The 21,595-nt window shown below is 43.5% G+C and overlaps 1 protein-coding gene and 1 pseudogene across 4 annotated transcripts in view; one reads left to right on the forward strand and one right to left on the reverse strand.

Annotated features, from left to right (window-relative positions):
* Positions 1 to 21,595, reverse strand: part of SIRPB1 (signal regulatory protein beta 1) — a 58,625-nt gene that overhangs the window by 9,850 nt on the left and 27,180 nt on the right. Inside the window, exons 1-3 of one of the 4 annotated variants that reach the window (XM_005260641.4) lie at positions 17,326 to 17,463; positions 7,104 to 7,460; positions 486 to 803 (exon numbers count right to left, since the gene is read on the reverse strand). In XM_005260641.4, the coding sequence (XP_005260698.1) occupies positions 486 to 803; positions 7,104 to 7,460; positions 17,326 to 17,398 (748 nt within the window). In that variant the 5' untranslated portion in view covers positions 17,399 to 17,463. Of the gene's footprint in view, positions 1 to 485; positions 804 to 7,103; positions 7,461 to 17,325; positions 17,464 to 21,595 lie in introns of those variants that run through there. The other 3 variants (NM_006065.5, NM_001330639.2, NM_001083910.4) reach the window with 3 other exon arrangements.
* On the forward strand, positions 20,158 to 20,614 carry TVP23BP3 (TVP23B pseudogene 3; annotated as a pseudogene).

Genomic DNA, 21,595 nt, shown 5'->3' on the forward strand with positions numbered 1-21,595 from the left:
CCAGGACAGTGCTAGGCAGGCAGCAGGTGCTCAGACATTGAGGGCACTCGTTGCATATGAGTGAAATTACTAAGCACAGTGCCTGGCGCACAGTAGGTGCCCAAGGACTGTTAGCTGCTGCTAGGCTAAGGATGAGTGAAATCTACAAGCACAACCCCTGGCATGCAGTTGGAATGTAAGAACTGTAGCAAAATCAGTGAAATCGCCGAGCACATAGTGATTTGGCTCCTAGTAGGTGCTCACTAATTGTAGTTGCTCTTGGTGAAATAAATGAAACTCTGTAGCCCAGAGCTTGGCACATGGTTGCTGGTCCCCTGACAGCTGCCATTAAAATGATAGTAAGTGACCGGCTCACCTAGGTGCATGGGAGGTGGACAACACAGTTAGGAATTAGATTCCAGGCCTTTCAAGCTCTGGAGCCTGGGGAGAGGGGAGTGGGCTTGGCAGCCAGGTGTGGGCTTGGGCTGGGTGTGAGGGTCTTCTACCTCGGATGGCCTCAGACAAGTTGGCAGTCCCACGAAGAGGGTCCCCCTGCAAGGTGATGTGGGCTATCTCGCAGATGACTTGAGAGTGAACGTCCCCACGGGTCAGCACCACCCTGGCTGTGCTGTGGATGCTGTAGGACACACTGTCTCCTGCGGGGTCCACGTTGGTCTGGAAGTCTGAGAGCTCATTCCCATTTTTGAACCATTTCAGGGTGATGTCTCTGGGAGAGAAGCCATGGGACTCGCAGGTGAAGCTCACTGTGTGCTCAGGTGTGGCCCTCACCGCAGGGCCCGATACCACGGGGGCAGAGGGTTTGGCTACAAAAGGACCATCGATAATCAGGAGACATGACTCAGATGACCATCACTGATGATAAGCGTTTGACATGTTAAGAACCTTCTGAGACGTTAGTTTTTAATCTTTCTAATAATGTCGTGAAGGCAGTGTCCTTATTCTCATTTTACAGATCAGGACACAACAGCTCTTAGAGGTGAGAACCAGGCCATGGTCAGACAGTGAGTAGGGGCAGGGCCCAGAGGGAAGTCCAGGCCTGAGTTCAAAGTCCTCTCCACACAGGGAGACTTCCACCAATCTGGGCATAGGAACAAAATTACTGATTGGTCTCCCTCCATGTTATTAACTGGTCCTAGCTGTCCTCCCCCGGAAGGCTCACTAACCTCAGAGAGGGCATTTATAGAAGCCAATACAGGGATCAATGGCAAAGTGGCACCACCGTGAGAGCTGCAACCAGGCTGCTCAGCCCAGGACAGGGGTGGGCTGACAACCCCAGCTCCTCATCCGCAAAACAGGAGGACGGAGGACGGCGTTTCTACTTCCTGGGATGTCGCCAGGATTCAATGGGGCAATGGAAGCAGTTTTGCTCTGGATCAAACACAGAAGATGCTTCCCCCAAAAAACACAGATCTATCTTTAACCCAGACTTTACAGATACACAGAGGTCTCTCTTTAGGTATTATAAAAATATGAAACATTCCGTATTTTTCTTTTCACAAATATTTCGTTCTGTCAAATAAAAGGCATTAATTAAGGATAAAGCTTTAACGTAGAGCCAAGAGTTTGTAAGAGCATTGGAATCACACCTGCTAAAGGTCAAGCCACAGGATGTTGCAGTAGATAGACCTGGATAACAACTGAAGCCAGGGTCCGTGGGATTTTGATCTCTTTCACCTGGAGTACTTTAATGAAATAACCAATGAGAGTGGGTTTGCAGTTGAGGATTTTCAACCAGCTAATGAACTGTTTCCAAAAACAACCTTTTGTGAAAATCCCCTATAAAAAACCTGTCCTGTATTGCCATACGGGACACTATTCAGGGTTTCACTGACTCAGTGTACCCAAATTGCACCTCTTTATCTTTCAGATAAATGCTATTTCCTTTGGCCTTCCTAACAATCATTTTGCTGTTGTTGTTAGTTGTTCTAATCTGCTGGAAGTCCTAAATTTGAAAAGAGGAAATTTTTGGGAATCTGAATCTTCAGTTAGGACAGGTTTGGGTGAAAAACAAGGATCACTGAGTACTAAGAAAGCCAAAGGTGGTTAGCTTTTTCATCGTTAATTAATTACAAGAGACAAAGACCCAGGCCACACCAACAGACAGAAACCTATTCTGGGCCTTGAAAGCAAACACATTGGAGAATCAGAACAACGAGTGCAGTTTCTCCATGTAGATGAATTTTAAGGGTGTCTGCAAATTGCTAATTGTTACCTTGAACCTTCTGCCGTCCTCTTAGAAAGCACATATTATACGTTTGACTTTGCCAATATTAACTTGCTCCCTGATATGCGTGAAATAATGTGAGAGCACAGTAAGGAGGGTGTCACTTGAAGATGTCAAGTCTTTGAGACACCAGCAGCATGGGTGTCCCTAGAAGGCTGAGAGGCTGTCTTCAGTTCCGATTTTTTGAGGGCTTCTTGGCAGCCTGATGCTGGCTGCTCTCTCTGTACCTCTCAGCACTTCAATCCTCCTTCTATTTGTCAGAGGGGGTCCTCATGTGAGCCCTTGTGTAGGGCGAGACTCTGAGAGGATCCTTGGTGGCCAAGGGCCAAAAGTAGATAGAAACCCCACCCTGGGAAGATGAGTGAGGGTAAGTGCAAGGGCATAGCCTGGCATGTAGTAGGTGCTTAATAAATAACCCCTGTGACTGTAATCATGAGGTTTGGTCATTACTGCTTCTGGAGCTGCATAGCTATTCTTTAGGCAACAGAACAAAGAGGCACACAAACACCAAGGAAAGGCTCAAACCCTACTCACCGCAGCTGCCAGAAAAAACCCAAATGATAAAAGGAGCAGCAACCACCATGTTTGGCGAACTGGCTTTCAAGTAAGATCACAGGGGAAGCTGGAAGCATTTTGGAAGAAGGAGGGAAAAGATACCTCAGTGACATCTGGGAGTGCTGAGGGAGGGAGGCTTCTGGGGCTGAGGAGTGAGGATTTGCTGGGACTCCAGCACGTGTTTAGATACAAATGTTTTCAAGACAGAAGGTTCCCCAGCCCTGAGGCTGCATCTGAGCCAGGCTTTGTCCCAGTCTCCTATCTTGGGCCCTGAGGCCAGTAGCATGGGAGGGGTCCTGTTCAGGCTTCTGGGGCCTCCCAGAATGTTTCCAGAATGGCTGTTTTGAAGCACCCATGACCCAAAAAGCTGTTCTCAAAGCCCCAAAACCTGGGGCACCGCTTTTGCTAGGGGGCTGTGTATGAGAATCTTCTGGAGCCATTAAGAACTTTAGATATCCAGGCCCAAATTAGATGCAATTAAATTGGCATTTTAGGGGGGTTCCTGGGTCCAGCTTTGCAAACTTTTTTTTTGATAGTTTTCCCAATGATTCTAATGAGCAGCCAAGGTTGAAAGCCACTGGACTCCAACCCAAACCCCATTTATACTTGGGGCCTAGAGATGCCCTGACCTGTCTGAGGTCACACAGCTTCACCCTAACACAACTCACCTTTATTGAGCATTTACTGTGTGCTTGTTGATGCCCTAAGCATTTTACACAATATCACTCCTTCAGACTCGGCCCAGTCTGTGAGGTCAGTGTTACCATCAAAGGGTGAGGACATCGAGGCCTATGGTGGTGAAGCACCTTGTCCCAGGTCACAGAGCCAGGAAGTGGCAGAGCCGGGAAGAGGCCCAGGCAGCTGGGATACTGCCTGTGTTCTCCTAACGACAGTTCTGCAGAAGCTCAGTAATAACCTGAATGACACCACCATTAGGGGCTCTGTGCACATCCTCTCCAATCCTCACAGAACCCAGAATAGGCCATGATAATCAGCATCTCACCGATGGGGAAACCGAGGACTCAAGGGAAGGCAAGACTGGCCCAAGATCACACGATCTTGAAATAACACCTCACTTTGGGGGTGCCTACAGTGTGCTAGGTGATTTACAGAGAGAACCTTACGCTTACGACTTTCCTAAAGGAGTCCATGATTGTCTCTATTCTACAGATGAAGATGCCGTGGCTGAACAAAATGAAGGCACTGTCTCCCGATTCTCCATGTGTCCCAGTGGGCATTTCCTGTGTCCCACCAAGCACTTATGTCCATTAACAGAGCAAGTGTTCTAACTTCTTGAGCTCCAACACTGACTGCCACCTCAATTGTCCCTTTGAGATTCTAGACTTCATGCAATGTTAGGGAGAAGCCTCCCTCCTGGGTGCCCAGGCCTGGTTACCCTGCAGCCATAAGCAAAAGACAGTGGGCTCCTGACAGCCGGAGGGGAGAATCTCAACTCTTGCTCACATGGGCCCCAAACACTCTCTAGGAAATGCCTCATCTCCTCATCCTTAGTCCTCAGCACCATGAACGGGCAGATACGTGCTCTGCTGGGCTGCAGGAGGCTCGACTCTGCTCATTGGACGCTGCTGAGTGAAGAGGAAACAACACAACATGGGGGAAGAGTCCTAAATGCCTCATGTGTGTTGAGACCTGTCCTTTAGGAACCGGCTTGGCATATCATGAGACATGCGCAGGGCCTTTCTGATGGGAGTGTGAAGACAGGCCCTCCTACCCCTACAGGGTTCTTGTTTTGTTTTTAATGCTTTTTGCTGTAGAACTGAACAATGCAAGAGTTTAGAAAGAGAAGGTTGGAGCATTTCTCCACTCTTGAAAAACCACAGTTGAGTGTCACAAAGACAAAGGCTGTGAGTCAGGCTGCGGGGTTCCAGCCTTGGCTCCCTGACCTGCTCCCAAGTCAGGTCTCCTCTCTGAGCTTCAGTGTCCTCATCTTTAAAGGAGGTAGCAAATGGCTTCTCCCTCATAGCACTGGTTATAAGGAGACTCTGGCACAGTTGCTGCTCTCTGGCCCCCTTCCCCACCTCCCTCCTTTCTCATGTAGCTCATCATTTAGGCCGAGAGCATGGCAAAGAGGAGTGAGTACTTCACTAGGAGTGAGCAGATCTGAGTCACACCTGAGCCACCACTGGCTGTGGCTGCCTGGGCTGGGGAGGCACCACCTGGGCATTTCAGTGTCTTTGCCAATATTATCTGCACAATCAGGATAAAGCCACCTTCCTTGTCTAAGTTCAAGGGTTGTGGGGAGCTGATTTCAGTCATTACTGAGCAATGTACATTTTCATGTACATACATGTACATGAAAGCATCATGTTTTAGGCTTTACATATACACATTTTTTTAAAAAGCTGTTAGTAAAGCTATGTGTCTTCTGGAGGTTCTGTTTTTTTGCCTTTCCAAATTCCAGAGGCTGCCCACATTCCTTTCTCACAGTTACATCTTCCCATCACTCTAACCTCTTGCTTATATCCTCACAAGTCCTTCTCTGAGAATTAATCTCCTTCCTCTGTCTTGTAAGGACCTTTCTTATGTATTGTGTCCACCCTGATGCTAGAGCCAGATGTTAAAACCACTGTCTTAAAAATGTTTGAAGTGGGGCCAGGCATGGTGGCTCACGCCTGTAATCCCAGCAGTTTGGGAGGCTGAGGCGGGTGGATCACCTGAGTTTGGGAGTTCGAGACCAGCCTGAACAACATGGAGAAACCCTGTCTCTACAAAATACAAAATTAGCCAGGCATGGTAGCTCAAGTCTGTAATCTCTGATTGCTACATCATCTAGAAGGGAAATTAGGCAATATTCTCAAATATGAAAACACACTATCCTCTGACCTAGAAACACCACTTCCAGTGGGAATCTCCCACCTGAGTAGGGTGACACATGTACAAGGTCATCCACTGCATGATTGTTGTAGTAGCTCAATGTTGGGAATAACTTACATATCCATCAACAGAAGACTGTAAAATAAATTTTGGTATTTCCATAAATTGGAGTATTTTTCAGCTGTAAAAAAACTGGAGCAGTTCTCTATGTCCTGATGTGGAATCTCGATATGAAATGACAGGGCTTACATTTGGGAGAAGTTTTCTAGTCACCAATGAGCTTTAGTATCTGAATGTGAGGTGCATTCTTAACATTTGGGAAACTGATGAAAAGAGAAATGCTGGCTCTCTGACACCTGGCTCTGTTTGGGGAACTTTTATCTAGCACCTATGATGCACCAGGCTCTTCTATGGAGACAGCGTCTAATGCTGGGGAAGGAAGGAGACTGCCACGATTCAGATATGGACTCTGGCTCCAATTCTGTCACTAACTGGCCCTGTGACCATGGACAAGGCCCCTGTCATGTCTTGGCTTCAGTCTCCCATCTGTAAAGGGGGTTGGGCTGGATGGTCTGAAGGTCCTTCCTGTGCTGACATGCCAGAATTCAGCAGTTAAGACGAGGCTTTTGGGGCTCTGGCAGGAAACCCCACATAAGCATTGTTGCTACCTTATATGGGGAACCCCTAAGTCACCCACTTGTGGGACCTCTTTCCTGAGGTGAGGGACATTCTGAGATGATGCAGCTCTGCTCGGAGCCCATGGTAACTCTGTGACTCAGTCCCCAAATCACAGAAGGGTTTCCCAAATAGACCCACAGCAAATGCCAAACATATTGGCATCTCCTCCCACCAAGCCATCAGATTCAACCGTGAATGTGCCTCCGAGAAATCTTCCCCGTGGGGTGTTTCTGAAGATTAAATTAAAAAAAAAAACAACCACGATTTACCCTCTCCATGCCCTGGACGGATTTCTCCTCATTAGAAGGGAAGAGAATGTAAGCTTGGTGGGGGAGCGCTTTAGGCTGTTTCATTCACTGCTGTTTGCGCAGCATCCAGGGCAGAGCCTGGCACACAGTGGGGTCTCAGTGACTGCCTGTTGCATAAAGAAGGGACTTGGCCACCCTGAGGGGGAAGCATTCTCTGGAGGCAGAAGGCAAGGTCCAGCCCTGTGCCTGGACAAGTCACTCAAATTGTGAGTTCCCTCATCTGTGGAACCAAAGGGCTGGGTCAGCTTTGGAAACACAAGAGCTGTAGAGCCGCAGACTGGGGATGCCTTCTGTCCCATCATTTACAAGCCGTGGAGCCTCGAGCGACTGCCATGACATCTCCAAGCCTCAACTCATGTGATCTGGAGAAAGGGTGACATCAGTTCATGAAAGGGTGGCTGCTCAGCCACCACCACACCTGGCTGTTGCTCCAAGAATGGATAATGTAATTATTGAGTTATTGTCACACACCAGGGGACAAAGGAGGCCCACGCTGTACTCACCGCGCACAGACAGCTCAGTGCCTGCTCCAGACTTAAACTCCACGTCGTCAGGGCTCCCTTTCCGGAACTTCACACAGTAGTAGGTGCCGGCGTCTGCTGGGGTGATGTTACTGATGCTGATGGAAAAGTCCAGGTTGTTTCTCTTTGTGAGTTCTGAAACAGTTGTTACCCGTGGGAAGTGGCCTTCTTTCTGATTGTAGATTAATTCCCGGCCTGCTCCAGCTCCTCTAAACCACATGATGGGCCCCACAGGGATCAGGGACGTCATAGCACAGCGCAGAGTGGCCGACTCTCCAGCTGCAACTGATACGGACTTTTCAGGCTGAATCACCTGTAGCTCGTCCTCACCTGCCACTCCTGGAAAGGAGCACAAAGCAGTCATTTCTTCATCCTTACCTGATTCTCTGTGTTTCCTCAAGTGTTTATCAATGGCTTTCATTGACTGGGTGCACACCAGGAAAAGGCCTTGAGCTCAGCCCACTACATGTATTATCTCATTTAACCCTCACAACTGGCCTGTGACGTAAGACTGTAATACAAGCGAGAACACTGAGGCACAGAGAGGTTCAATTTCCTTTTCCTTACTTTCTTCTGTTCTTTCTGTTTGCTTTCTTTTCTTTTCTTTTTTGAGACGGGGTCTTGCTCTGTCTGCTGCCCAGGCTGGAGTGCAGTGGTGCAATCACAGCTCACTGTAGCCTCAATCTTCCAGGCTCAAGAGATCCTTTCTCCTTGGCCTGCCAAGTAGCTGGGACCACAGGTGCATTCCACCATACCTGGCCAATTTTTGTATTTTTTCTAGAGACACAGTTTCACCATGTTGCCCACAGTGGTCTCTAACTCTTGGGCTCAAGCAAACCATCTGCCTTGGCCTTTCAAATTGCTGGGATTATAGGTGTCAGCCACCGCGCCTGGCCAAGAGGTTCAATTTCAATGTAGAGCTTTGGGTTGAGGACCTGAGTAGAACTATTGAGCCCTCCTCGGAAGTGCCATGTTTTGCCAATTATGGCCTCCACTCTGTGGTACATGGAGTGTGGCACTTTTTGTATCACTGGATTGGGTGGGGCCCTGTGACTTCTTTAGACCCTTGAGTTATGAGCAGAATGATGGGTATAATTTGTGGGCTGTGCATTTAACTGCAAGAGCCTCTGTGGATCAATTTCTCCCTTCCGGAGACCACGAGGCTCTGATAGGGCCTGCTCCATCGCCTGGATGCGTGAATGACCGTTGCATGCAGAACTGCCAATCCACACTGAATATGTAGCTTCCAGTAGAAATATAACCTTGTTTTAAGCCCCTGGTAATTTTTCACCCATAGCATAATCACATTACCTAAGTTTCCTAATGCTGATGTGACAAATTACCAAAACTTAGTGTGTTAAAAGAAATGTAACATTTTATAGTTCTGGAGGTTAGAAGTCCAAAATAGTGTTACTGGGGTACAATGAAGAAGAAATGATGAACGTCAAATACACAAAGATAGAGAATAAAACAGTGGTGACTAGGGGTGAACTTGGGGGAGTTGATGGGGAGGTCAAAAGACACAAAATTGTGATAAGTCTGAGGAAGAAGTCCAGAGAATGAATGTGCAATCTGAGGATTTTAGTTAATAATGTTGTATTGAATTCAGTATTTTTGCTTAAGAAGCACATTTTAGGTGCTGTTGACATACAACACATGCAGCATAACTATGGGAGATGATGGATGTGTCCATTTGCTTAACTTTAATAACCATTTCACTACGTATATGTACATGTATACATATATGAAAGCACCATGTTTTACACCTTCCATGTCTACATTTTTTAAGGCGCTTTCAGCAGAGCTGTGTGTCTTCTGGAGGCTCTGTTTTTTGCCTTTCCAAATTCTAGAGGTTTCTCCCATCCCTTTCTCACAGTTACATCTTCCCACCACTCTAACCTCTTGCATCTTCACCTGCAAACATCCTGGAATACAAGGATGTTTCAATGTCCTTCTCCAAGAATTAATCTTCCTCCTTCTTATAAGCACCCTTGTGATGTATTAGCTCCACCCTGATACTAGACCCAGATATTAAAATCACTGCCTTAAAAATGCTGAGAGGTAAAGGAAATAACGGACCAAGAACTAAAGGAATATAAATGTCTTAACAAAATGAGAATGTAAAGAAAGAGAAATTATAGGAAGAAATCAAACAGAAACTTAGGAATTGAAAGTACAATAACTAAAAGTTCACTAGAGGGGTCCCCCCAATGGGTATAAGCCGGTGGAAGAATAATCAGAAAACTGGAAGATGGAATAATTGAAATTATTGAGACTGAGGTGTGGGTGGAAAATAGAATAAAGTATAGAGCACAGAATCTAAGGGAATTGTGAGACATTATCAAATGTATCAACATACACCTTACTAGAGTTCCAGGGGGAAAAAAGAGAAAGAGAGAAAGGAATAGAAGATTATATGAAAACAGAGTGGACAAAAATCTTCACAAACTTGTTAAAATACAGGAATCTACAAATTGAAGACACAGAAGAAACGCAAGTTGAACCCACAAATAAACTCAGAGACCCACACTAAGACACATTATAATCCAAATGTTGACACCTAAAGTCCAGGTGAGACTCCTTAAAGCAGCAAGACAGAAGCGATTTCTTCCATACAAGAGACCCTCAATAAGATTTTCAGCTCAGCTCTTATGCAATGCACCGAAGGCCAGAAGATAGGGGGATGGTAAGTTCAAAATGTTGAAAGAGGAAAAACATGTCAATCATGAATTCTATACCTGGCAAAGTGTCCTTCAAATACAAGGGAGAAATTATGATATTCTCAGATAAACAAAAGCTAACAGAGTTCATGACCATTAAACCTTGCCTACAAGAAATGCTAAAGGGAGTGCTTCAGGTGGAAATGAAAGGATGCTATATGGCAACTCAAAGTTGTATGAAGAAATAAAGATATCCAGTTATGTGTACATTTTTTAAAAATCATGCTTCAATATCCCACAAACAAGCTGTGAGCACCCTGCCCAGGTGACCAGGTAACCAGTATTTTAAAGCTGGTCCCTGCCACAATTCCTCTTCTTGTCTTCCCCTACTGTGACCTAGTGACATTGAAACACTCTAGTAAAAGTGTTTTTGCTTGTGTCCTCCACCTTGACTCCCAGTAAAGGCACTTGCCCAGGGATCCCATCTCTCTTGCCTACCCATCTGCTTGATTGAGCCTGCTCCTTGGGAGCTCCTTCCACATGGCTTCCTGCATGGCCTGCCCTACTTCTGTCTCTAGGAACTGTGAGTATGCCTCTTCATATGAACTTTTCATGGCCATGTTAGAGTGATCCTCTAAGATTCAACCAGCAGGAGTCACTCTAACATTTTCTATAGTAATGGCAATGAGGATGGGATCATTCTAAACTCAGGTGGAAAGTTCCTAGGGAATGCCTTTGACTCATGACTTACTGATTTGCTACTCTGATTGGCTCCACAATTTGAGAAGGCTTTTTACCCTGATGACTTTCTTGTGCTATGCTATGTACAGCTTTGTGTTGCCTTTTGGAGTGCTGCCATGGCTCTCCATCCTGAAGCGAGGATCCTGTTCCAATATCAATAATGACATCCACCTTTCTCCAAGAGCACAAGATGATATAACATTGGTAACACCTCTTCAAAGAAGATTCATGTGATATGCATATTAATGTCACATAATCCAGCACCTGTAAGTTTTTTTTGGGATGCCTGTGGCAACATATTCTTCATTTACAAATTTTACTTACAAATTAAAATCAACAGACACTCCTGTTAGTGTCATTAAATGAATTAAACAAAAATATCTCTCCTCTGTAAAGACTTTGGCTGTGTCTTTCATGCCTCTTGGAGTCTCTAGACCACTCATGATGGCTATATATTTCCTCAGGGCCTTGATGCAAAAATAATGCTCTTTATGGCCTACGCTGTACTCCATTAAAACAACTGACTGGTTACCCACTAGAATCTCCTGATTTGGATTCCAGATTTGAAGATAATACCCTCCTGTTTCAATCATTAACCATAAATTGCCCCACAGGCCAGGCTCTGCTCATCTGAAATGACACCCATCGGAATTTAAACTTCCACTGCAACACAAAATTAAAATTGCTGCCAGGTACAGCTGCACACCTTTCTGTTGACAGTTGGCATTATTACTACTTGGTTTGTTGATGCAACAATCCTCAACCAAATACTAGCAAACTGAATTGAACAGCATATTAGAAGAATTATACAACACGAGCAAGTGATATTTATTTCTGGAATACAAGGATGTTTCCATGCACAAATGACAAACAATGTAATATATCATATTTATAGAAGAAAGACAAGAAACACATGATTAGCTCATTTGATACAGAAGACGATTTGACAAATTTGGGGATCTTTTTATGACAAAAACCATCAATAAAAGGAATATATGAAAACTTCTATAAAATAATAAAAGTCGTAAACACACACTTGATTTTCACTTATCGCTGTCTAATATACTATTTTATTTGCCTATTTATCATGTGTATTGATTACTGTCATTCTCCCCAGTGGAGATAAGCAACAAAAGGGCAACTACTTTTTGTCTTTTATTCAACAATGTTCTTTGTTAGGTCCTGGCACATAGCAGGTATTCATCAAATATGTGTATAATGTGTGAATTGCTTAGTGGAACACTTTCTCAGGAGACTAAATATTGTATTTTAAGTGAATTGCTTTCATGAAATTTGCCAGAAAATGTGTTTCCCATGTGAATTGGTGAAAAAAAATCGACTTGTATACATGCAGAAATCAGAAGAGTCAAGGAGAAGAAAACCACAAATCCTCTTCTCCCCACCACATCACCTCCCTGCCCTCATGAGCAGCATCTGCGGAAATTTCATGGAATAAGATCAAGGGCAAAAGTGTTTGAGAAGAGTAATGGTGAAACCTGTGATCTCTAGAGTCAAAGTGCCTGAGTTCAAATCGTAGCTCTACCAGTTACCAATGAGTAACCTAGGAGCACTTTGTGCTTCTGTTTCCTTATTTGTGAGGGAGGGTGAACTTGGATATAATGGTTACCTGATGTCAGAAATGTAAGTGATTTCCTACAGTATCTGGCACACGGTGGGTATTCAAAAATTGTAAAGTGATTACTTGGCAGATTTCCTGAGGATTGGAGGCTTCAATGGATATTAGATGATGATATGGTTATGGATATGGATATGAATATAACTATAGATATAGATAATATAGGCAGGGTTCTCTGTTACTTTTATCTCCTTCTTTCTTCCTCAACCCTACCATTAATGGAAGAGAGAACTCAAAGAGAGGAATGCGCAAAAGTTCTGTTTTGAGGAAAAGTGCATTTTACTAAGAAGTCTGCTTACCTGTTGCTTTGCTTAACAGATTGGGGGATTTTCAGGGGTAAATGACTGAAGTAGAAAGGAGGGAGAATGACTGGGCAACAGAGAAAATCAAACATCTCTTTAATGTGTTTTTCCTGTAGACTAAAAAATGAGTTGAAGACTGTAGTAAGGGAAGTCTTACTACTACTACTACTACTACTACTACTACTACTACTACTACTACTGCTGCTGCTGCTGCTGTGTGTTTCCACATGGTCAAGTAAGATTTATCCCAGGAATTCAAGGATGGTACAACATTCATAAATCTCTAAATGTGGTACAGTGTTTCAACAGAAAGAGGGACAAAAACCATATGACCTTACAACACAGGCAAAGAAAGCATTTGACAATATTTAACATTTTTTAATCATAAAAGCTCTCAAGAAATTAGATACCAAATAAATGTTCCTCAACACAATAAGGGCCATACAGGACATATCCATAGCTAACATCATACCCAATGGTGAAAAGTTGTCACCTTTTACTCTAAGATCAGGAACAAGACAATGATGCCCACTCTCAAGTTTTCTATTCAACATATAGTATCAGAAGTTCTATCCAGAATAATTGCACAAAAGAAGTAAATAAAAGGCATTCAAATCACAAAGGAAGAAGATAAATTTTCCCTGTTTGCATATGACACTATCTTATATGGAGAAAATCTTAAAAATCTCTAAAAACTTTTAGAATCAACAAACAAATAGGCCACAGATATAAGATATAAAATTAATTGGTAAAAATCAGTAGTTTCATACACTTATAGCAAATTAGTGGGAAAAGAAATCAGTAAAACAATTTTACTTACAATTGCTACCAAAAAAGGTAAAGCAGCTAGGAATAAACTTAATCAAGGAGCTGAAATACCTACACACTGAAAACTATAAAACTTGGATGAAAAAAATAGAAAACAAATAACAGAAAGATACCTATGTTTGTGGATTGGAGAATTACTATTGTAAAATGTACATACTACCCAAAGAGATCTACAGATTCAATTCAATGTCAGTAAAATTTCAATGAAATTCCACAGAAATGGACAAAACAATCCTTAAGTTCATATTAGCCATAGAAAACCATGAATAGCTAAGGCAAGCTTTAGCAAAAAGAACAAAGCTGGAGGTATCACACTGCTTGATTTAAAAATCTTCTACAGTGCCACAGTAATCAAAACAGCATGGCACTGGCACAAAAAGAGACACATAGACCAATGGATCAGACCAGAGAGCCCAGCAATAAACTCACACATTTGCACTCAATTGACCTTTGACAAAAGGGTCAAGAAGACACAATGGGGAAATGTCAGTCTCTTGAAAAAGGGGTGTTGGGAAACCTGAATATCCATGTGTAGAGAAATGAAATTAGACCTCTGTCTCATACCACATACAAAAATCAACTCCAAATGTATTAAAGACTTAAATGTAAGATCTGAAACTGTAAAAGTACTAGAAGAAAAGTTCCATGACATTGGTCCGGGCAATGAATTTTTGGATATGAGCCCCAAAGCACAGGCAACAAAAGCAGAAATAAATAAATGGCACTACAACAAACTAAAAAGTTTCTACACAGCCAAGGAAACAATCAACAGAGTGAAGAGACAGCCTACAAAATGGGAGAAGATATTTTCAAACCATACATCTGATGAAGAGTTAATATGCAAAATATATAAGGAAGTCAAACAACTCACTCATAAGAAAACAACCCAAGTAAAATATGAGCCAAATAGCCATTTCTCAAAAGAAGACATCAAAATGGCCAGTCAACATATAAATAATATCCAACCTCATCATTCTTAAGATAAATGCAAATTAAAACCACAGTGAGCTATCATCTCACGCTTGTTAGAATAACTATTATCAAAAAGATGATAATGACTATCATCAAAAAGATGTTGGAGAGTATGTGGAGAACAGGAAACCCTGTTCCCACACAGTTGGTGGGAATGTAAATTAGGCCATCCATTAGCGAAAACAGTATGGAGTGTCCTCAAAATTCAAAAATAGAATTATCATATGATCCAGCAATCTCACTACTGAGCGTATATCCAAAGGAAATGACATCAGCGTGTCACAGAGATATCCGCACCCCCATGTCCATTGCAGCATTATTTACAATAGCCAAGATATGGAATCAACCTAGGTGCGTATCAACAGATAAATGGATAAAGAAAATGTGGTGTATACATACACAATGGAATTCTAATCAGTTGTACAAAAGAAGGAAATCCTGTCATTTGCAACAATATGAATTAACCAAGATGGTATTATGCTAAGTGAAACAAGCCAGGCACAGAAAGACAAACACCGCATGATCTCTCTCATATGTGGAATCTAAAAAAGTTGAACTCAAAGAACTAGAGTAGAATGACGGTTTCCAGGGCTAGACAAGGGGTGCAGTTCGGTAAGTATTAGTCAAAGGACACAAAATTTTTGTTTAGATGGGAGAAATTAGCTCCAGATATCTATTGTACAATATGGAGTCTATAGTTAATAAGATGATTTATATCCTTCAAAATTGCGAAGTGCATAGATTTTAGGAGTTCTCGCCATACAAAATTGTCAATATGTAAGATTATGCATATGTTAATTAGCTGAAGTTAGTCATTCAGAAATGTACACATATGTCATAATATGTTGTACATGAGAAGTATACTGTTCTCAAATTAGAAGTATTTTCTTAAGCTTTAATTGAAATTAAAGTTGGAGAAACTGATAAAAAATGAAATCTCATGTGTGTGCGTGTACACACTTACACTCACTTATATGCACACATGCAGGGATCTCTAATCCCCAGGTTGTGGTTGGGTACAGGTCCGTGGCCTGTTATGAACTGGGCCGCACAGCCGGAGGTGAGCAGCCAGTGAGTGAGCGTTATCGCCTGAGTTCTGCCTCCTGTCAGATCAGTGGCAGCATTAGATTCTCATAGGAGTGCCAACCCTATTGTGAACTGTGCATGCGAGGGATCTAGGTTGTGTGCTCCTTATGAGAATCTAACTAATGCCTGATGATCTGAGGTGGAACAGTTTCATCCTGAAACCAACCTCCCCACCCACCCACTCTGGGTCCTTGGAAAAATTATCTTCCATGAAACCAGTCCCAGGTGCCAAAAAGATTGGGGACCACTGCACACGTGTGTGTGCGTGTGTGTGTACACATTCACAAATATATATAAAACTGTGACCTATAATATTTGTCACATAGAAATCATCCAACAGATTAACAAAACTTTCGGAATACAAACATATACCAGGGTTTTAACTCTGTTGCTGACTGGTGTAATGGGTGATGATTAATCCTGTGTCTGCTTTCCTGCATTTTCTAGTATTTCTGCAGGTAGCATAAGAAGGCTAAAAGTAGGAACTCTGAAGCTGGTCGACCTGGACTTGAATCCCATCTGCTCCACTGATTGAGGTAGGGAACGATAGACAAGTTCCTCTCTCAGCCTGCCTCCCCATTTGCAAATAGGGAATATGAGTTGTAGCTTTCACACAGGGATGTTGTGAGGATTAGTGGAGTTAAAACACACAGAATGCTAAGAACAGTTTTTGCGTTATAGGAAGATCTCAATTGCTGAACTATTACTGCTGTCATTTGAATACAGTGTATGGTAAGAAAAATGATTTGGAAAGTGAAATTTCTGCCCTCTAGGACTTGTGAGGTGGCATCACAGCAGGGCCCAGTGGGGAGCTGAGAGGCTGCTGTGCCCAGCGCTGTGACCCTGGTGTCAGCTCCATGGCCTGAGTAAGGAGTGAGGACAGGAAGCCTATCTGGGAGCTGGGAGCAAAGACTTTCCAACCTGCCCCTCCTGAGGAAGGGAAAATAAATTCTCCATGGCAAAGTCAAGAGACCCAAGGGAGATTATGGTACCTGTTATGGGCTGAATGTGTCCCCTAAAAGGCATGTGTTGAAGCTCCAACCCTAGCAACACAGAATGTGACTGTATTTGGAGACAGAGTTTTTAAGAAGCAATTCAGTTAAATGAGTTCATTGGGGTGGGCCTTAATCCAATACGATTGATGGTCTCATAAGAAGAGGAGATGAGGACACAGACACACACACAGAGGGAAGACCATGGGTTGAGACACAGGGTGGAGACTGTCTTCTACAAGCCAAGGATAAAGACCTCAGTAGAAATTAACCCTGCTGACACTTTGATCTTGGACTTCGGCTTCCATAACTGCAAGGAAGTAAATGTCTAGTTTCAGCCACCCAGTCTGTGGTTCTTTACTATGGAAGCCCTAGGAAATGAATATAGGCCCCAATAAGCAGCAAATGCAGAACTTGTTAAAGAGGAAGAGGTGACCAAAAAAATGGGTGTTAAGACTCAAGTCACAGGGGAGGGAGGATCATGGGGGAACACAGGACAAAATAAGGAGCACCCTTAGGGAGGACGGTGGCTGAACATCCCTGGGAAACACTGCACCCCTGTCCAACTCAAGCAGGCACCATTTCAGACTTCACTTCCTCTGGGTATTGAATACAGAAGGCTGGGCCTGGAGCCACACAGCCCTCTCAGGCTGTCTCTGAGCTCACTCTGTCCTTGGGTAGGTTGTTTAGCCCCAGAGTCTCAAGACTGGTAAGGATTTAAATAGTGATTGTTCTGTGTTAGTCAAATGAAATAGATCAAAATGTAAGTAATTGTGGTGGTGAGTCAATCATCCTGTGACTTGATGCCTCTGGTAGCCAGCTGCTGATCCACAGAGAAAGTGCTCAGCTCCATGATGTCCTGCTCTTAGGCCCCATCTCTGGCCTTCCTTGGCAGCACTTGTGGTTGTCTGGAATCCCCAAAGGTCCAGGGACAGGATATAGCCCTGCCAGCGGAGAGAAAGGGTTCTAGCCCAAGGCAATGCTTACCTGTGAGTCCCAGCAATAGAGTCAGCAGCAGGAAAGGACAAGGAGGGTGGGGCCAGGAGGCTGGGACAGGCATCCTGGAGACCTCAGGAGCCTGCTCTGTTCAAACGTCTGTGGTGGGGAGATGTCAGGCTCTGCTCTGAGGAGAGAAGACAAGCCCTGCCTCCCTCAGTTCAAGAGGAAGTGGCTATGATGGATTGCGACAGCAACTTGCTTCTAGATTGTAACTTAGAAATCAGGCACAGCAGGCAGCTACAAAGCACAGAGTTACTCATACTCCATTTTCAGGAGAATCAGACAGGCTGAGCAAAAATAATGCTTCCTCTTCAACTGAGGCCTGTGTTCTGTCCACGTGGCCCCCTTCCCCATCTTCAGGTCTTCTTGATGATTTGCCAGTTGAGGGTCTTGGGCCAAGAAGGTCTGTGGTTGTGAGTTGTGTCCTAAACTCTTCATCTCAGGACCCTAGGATGTGGTTGGCTTGTTGCTTCGTTCTGCACCAGCCTCAACCAAGTGCTACTCAGCAGGGGGCAACAGGAGGGATCGCAGGAGCCTCTTGATGTTGGAGAGGAAACAGGTATGCTCTTGAAATGATTCCTTATTCAAACCTTTTAATGATATAACTGGCAAAACGTAGCTCAAATTCAGTCTGATCTGAACTTTGGTACTTTCATGGGCCTGAATCCAGCAGAAGAAATCATTTCCCAACTTCTTCCAGGAGAGGGAGTAGTTTTAGTTTAGTAAGGATCTGTTTTGTCGGGTGAAGTGAGGATCATGGGTTATGGAAAAGGGATAGGGTTATGATTCGGGCAGAATGTGGCGGACAGGTTCCTGAGGTCATCACATCAACTTTAATATCCTTTGTTCTGCACAGAGGACCTACTTCATTCACCACTGTGTTCAGATGGGAAATGAGGAGAGAGGAAGTATATATGCCCTGACCAACAAGGTGTGCTAAGGAGTTGGGGAAATCATTGCAGCCATCTACGCTCAATTTTGTTCTCTAAACTGGGGGTTATAAGTATTTCATTGCAGTGTTTTAGTGGAGATTAAAGGAGATAATGATTGTACCATGCCTGAAACCCAGTAGGTCATTATTGATGCTAATGACACCAGGTGAAGAGCGGGAACTCGAGTGGTGCTTTTGAATGAATCCCTACTACATGGTGAATTGCCCACCAGTGGCTTTCTCCCAGCAACCCAGGCCTCCTGAGACCCAGATTATATGATGTGCTTGGACTACCCCTGCCACTCTGAGATCAATTGCTTTCTCTTGAATTCTCTGCATCCTGCTCCTTATAATCCACAAATTAATTTGTTCTCTCACAATTTCCAGCTGTGTGACTTTCAAGAAGACACTTGACTTCTCTGAGCCTTATTTTGATGGTATGTAAATGGAAGTTATAACATGCACCAACATGCACCTTGTAGAGATGGGGTAGGAATAATATAAACCATAATGAATGCTTGACTCATAATTAATTTTAACCAAAAAATGTGGCTATAATTTTTTTTTATGAGAAGGGCTCACTGCTTTCCTGCCACAGTTGTGCTTTAGAAAAACCACCTTGTTAGGAGAAATGTTTGTATCATCTATGACTTAGAAAGGCCTGTCTGGAAGCTTCCCTGTCACATGCTAGGTTTTAGGTCCTTCATCTGTTATTGTCAAATGAAATGTAAAGGTTATCATATTCTCATTCAAAGTTCTGTTCAATGTGGCAAATGTGCACAGGGTGAAATCTTCCCCTCCTACTCCACACCCACAAAAATGAAAATGAAAAAGGATAAAATTATATTATTCCGTGTCAAATTACACTTAAAAACAAGACAATAGTCTTTATGTGACATGAAGGAATAGCAGCAGTTATCATTTATTGCAGAAGTCCTGTGCCCCAGATATGGTGTCAAGCATTTTATGTCAGTTACCTCATTAATTCATCACTCTGACTCTATCAAGTAAGCACTGCTATTAACCTACCTCCTTTTACAGGCGAGGAAACCTGAGGCACACAGAGAGTAATGGATTTGCTCAAGATCACTAAGCTTTTAGAACTAGAGCATAGGTTGCCACACACCACAGACTTCACTTTTAATGTTTGCACTATGACATCTGTCATTGGAAAGGAGAGACATCCCTCAGGAGGAAGCAGAGAAGAAGCCATAGCCTCAGTTAGGAACAGCCCGCACAGTGAGGCTGTGGCAGGTGCCATGCTCCAGGAGGCCCTGATAACTCCATCACGTGGGGTGGGGCTTTATTTCTGGAAAGATGGCAGTGCAGGAAGGAATCACTGAAGATGTGGGGAACAGCAGCACCATGAGAGATAGCTAACCAATTCAAGAAAAACAATAACTCAAAAACAAGAACAGCAATCAAGAGGACTTCACAACTGAGAAAATATGAAAAAATAAAATATAAAAAGGTCTTTAAAATTAGCATACACAGTAACCTTATAAAGATAGCAAAAGGGAAGTGAATCCATAAAATAACATCAGGCATGTGTGAAACAGGAATAGTCAGGCATGAAGTAACAGGTATCTTGGAAAAATAACCAAAAAAAGAGACTTTGGAAATGAAAACATAATTACTGAGGACAGTTTTAAAAAATGTAATAGGTTGACTAGGGGACTATATATATATAAGTAGTAAGTTATTGGGTTGGGGGATCATGTGGGGAAATCCCTTAGGATTCAGCACAGAGACACACCTAAACAGAGTAAGGTAAATAGGTGTAAATATAGGAATAACAAAAGATATCTCACAAAACATGTCAAAAAATTTCCCAGAAACAGCTGAGGAGCTGAGCACTTGCAGAGAGGGTGGTGGTGCCCAGGGTTGGCTCTGAAGGCACAGTGATGATGATACTGAAGATATTTCACTGTTTGATTTAGAAGGGAGGGCAGACAACTAATAGACCAAAGAAATTTAAACTCAGAGATCCAGTGGCCTCACTTTTCCTTTAATTATTTCAAGTCAGTGCAATCGCCACCTATTTTCTCTATGAACCGCCCAGCAGTTGCTTTCTTGCCTGTGTGGCCTGTGTGGTGACAATGATCTCGTTGTCAGGTGGCTTTTGGGCAGTGAAGAATGTCACCGGTAGAGTAATGATTGGACTATGTTGGTGGAATCACATTGATGACAATGGAAAGGGCCATTGGGCATTTGAGTCCTGGGAGACATCCTCTTAAGAGAGTAAAACTGTCTTAGAGGCTGAAAGAAGAATCTTCTGGTTGGGACTAATGGCCTGTCCAGTGCTGTGAGTGATATGTGCTTTTAGTGCCTGATTTGATTTGGCTCTGTGTCCCCACCCAAATCTCATCTCAAATTACAATCCCCATGTGTCAAGGGAGTGACCTGGTGGGAGGTGATTGGATCACATGGGTGGTTCCTGCATGCTGTTCTCATGATAGTGAGTGAGTTATCAAGATCTGATGGTTTAAAAGCGTTTGGCAGTTCCCGCCTTGCTCTTTCTCTCTCCTGCTGCCATGTAAGACATTCCTTGTTTCCCCTTCACCTTCTGCCATGATTGTAAGTTTCCTCAGGCCTCCCCAGCCATGCAGAACTGTGAGTCAATTACACCTCTTTTATTTATAAATTACCCAGTCTCAGGCAGTTTTGTTTGTTTGTTTGTTTGTTTGTTTGTTTTTGACACGGAGTCTCACTCTGTCACCCAGGCTGGAGTGCAATGGCATGATCTCGGCTCACTGCAACCTCTGCCTCCTGGGTTCAAGCGATTCTCCCACCTCAGCCTCCTGAGTAGCTGGGATTACAGGCACCCACCATCATGCCCAGCTAATTTTTGTATTTTAGTAGAGCTGGGGTTTCACCATGTTGGCCAGGCTGGTCTTGAACTCCTGACCTCAGGTGATCCGCCCGCCTCAGCCTCTCAAAGTTCTGGAATTACAAGCATGAGCCATTGCGCCCGGCCTCAGGTAGTTCTTTATAGTAGTATGAGAATGGACTAATACAGTGCCCTCTTCTCCTTCAGAGTAAAGTGGTTGAACGCTAGACATGATCAGACTTCTCAAATAGAGGGAGAAAATTTATGTGTTTTACGATGTTGGGGGGCAACCTAAGAGATTCTTGACTCTGAACCTTTTAGATCTCAGTTTATGTTGCAACAGAAAGTGTTGGCTTTTTTCCCCCCACTTAATAACTTTATTTAAAACAAACAAAAGTAGTTTTCATATTAAGTTTTTATTTTCTCTCCAGCACTTGGGGCTAGAAAGTGTGTTGTCACTACAAACGTCCAAATTTATTTAATGGTATACAGAGGTA

The sequence above is a fragment of the Homo sapiens genome, chromosome 20 (assembly GCF_000001405.40).
Source record: "Homo sapiens chromosome 20, GRCh38.p14 Primary Assembly".
Classification (NCBI taxonomy): Eukaryota; Metazoa; Chordata; class Mammalia; order Primates; family Hominidae; genus Homo; species Homo sapiens.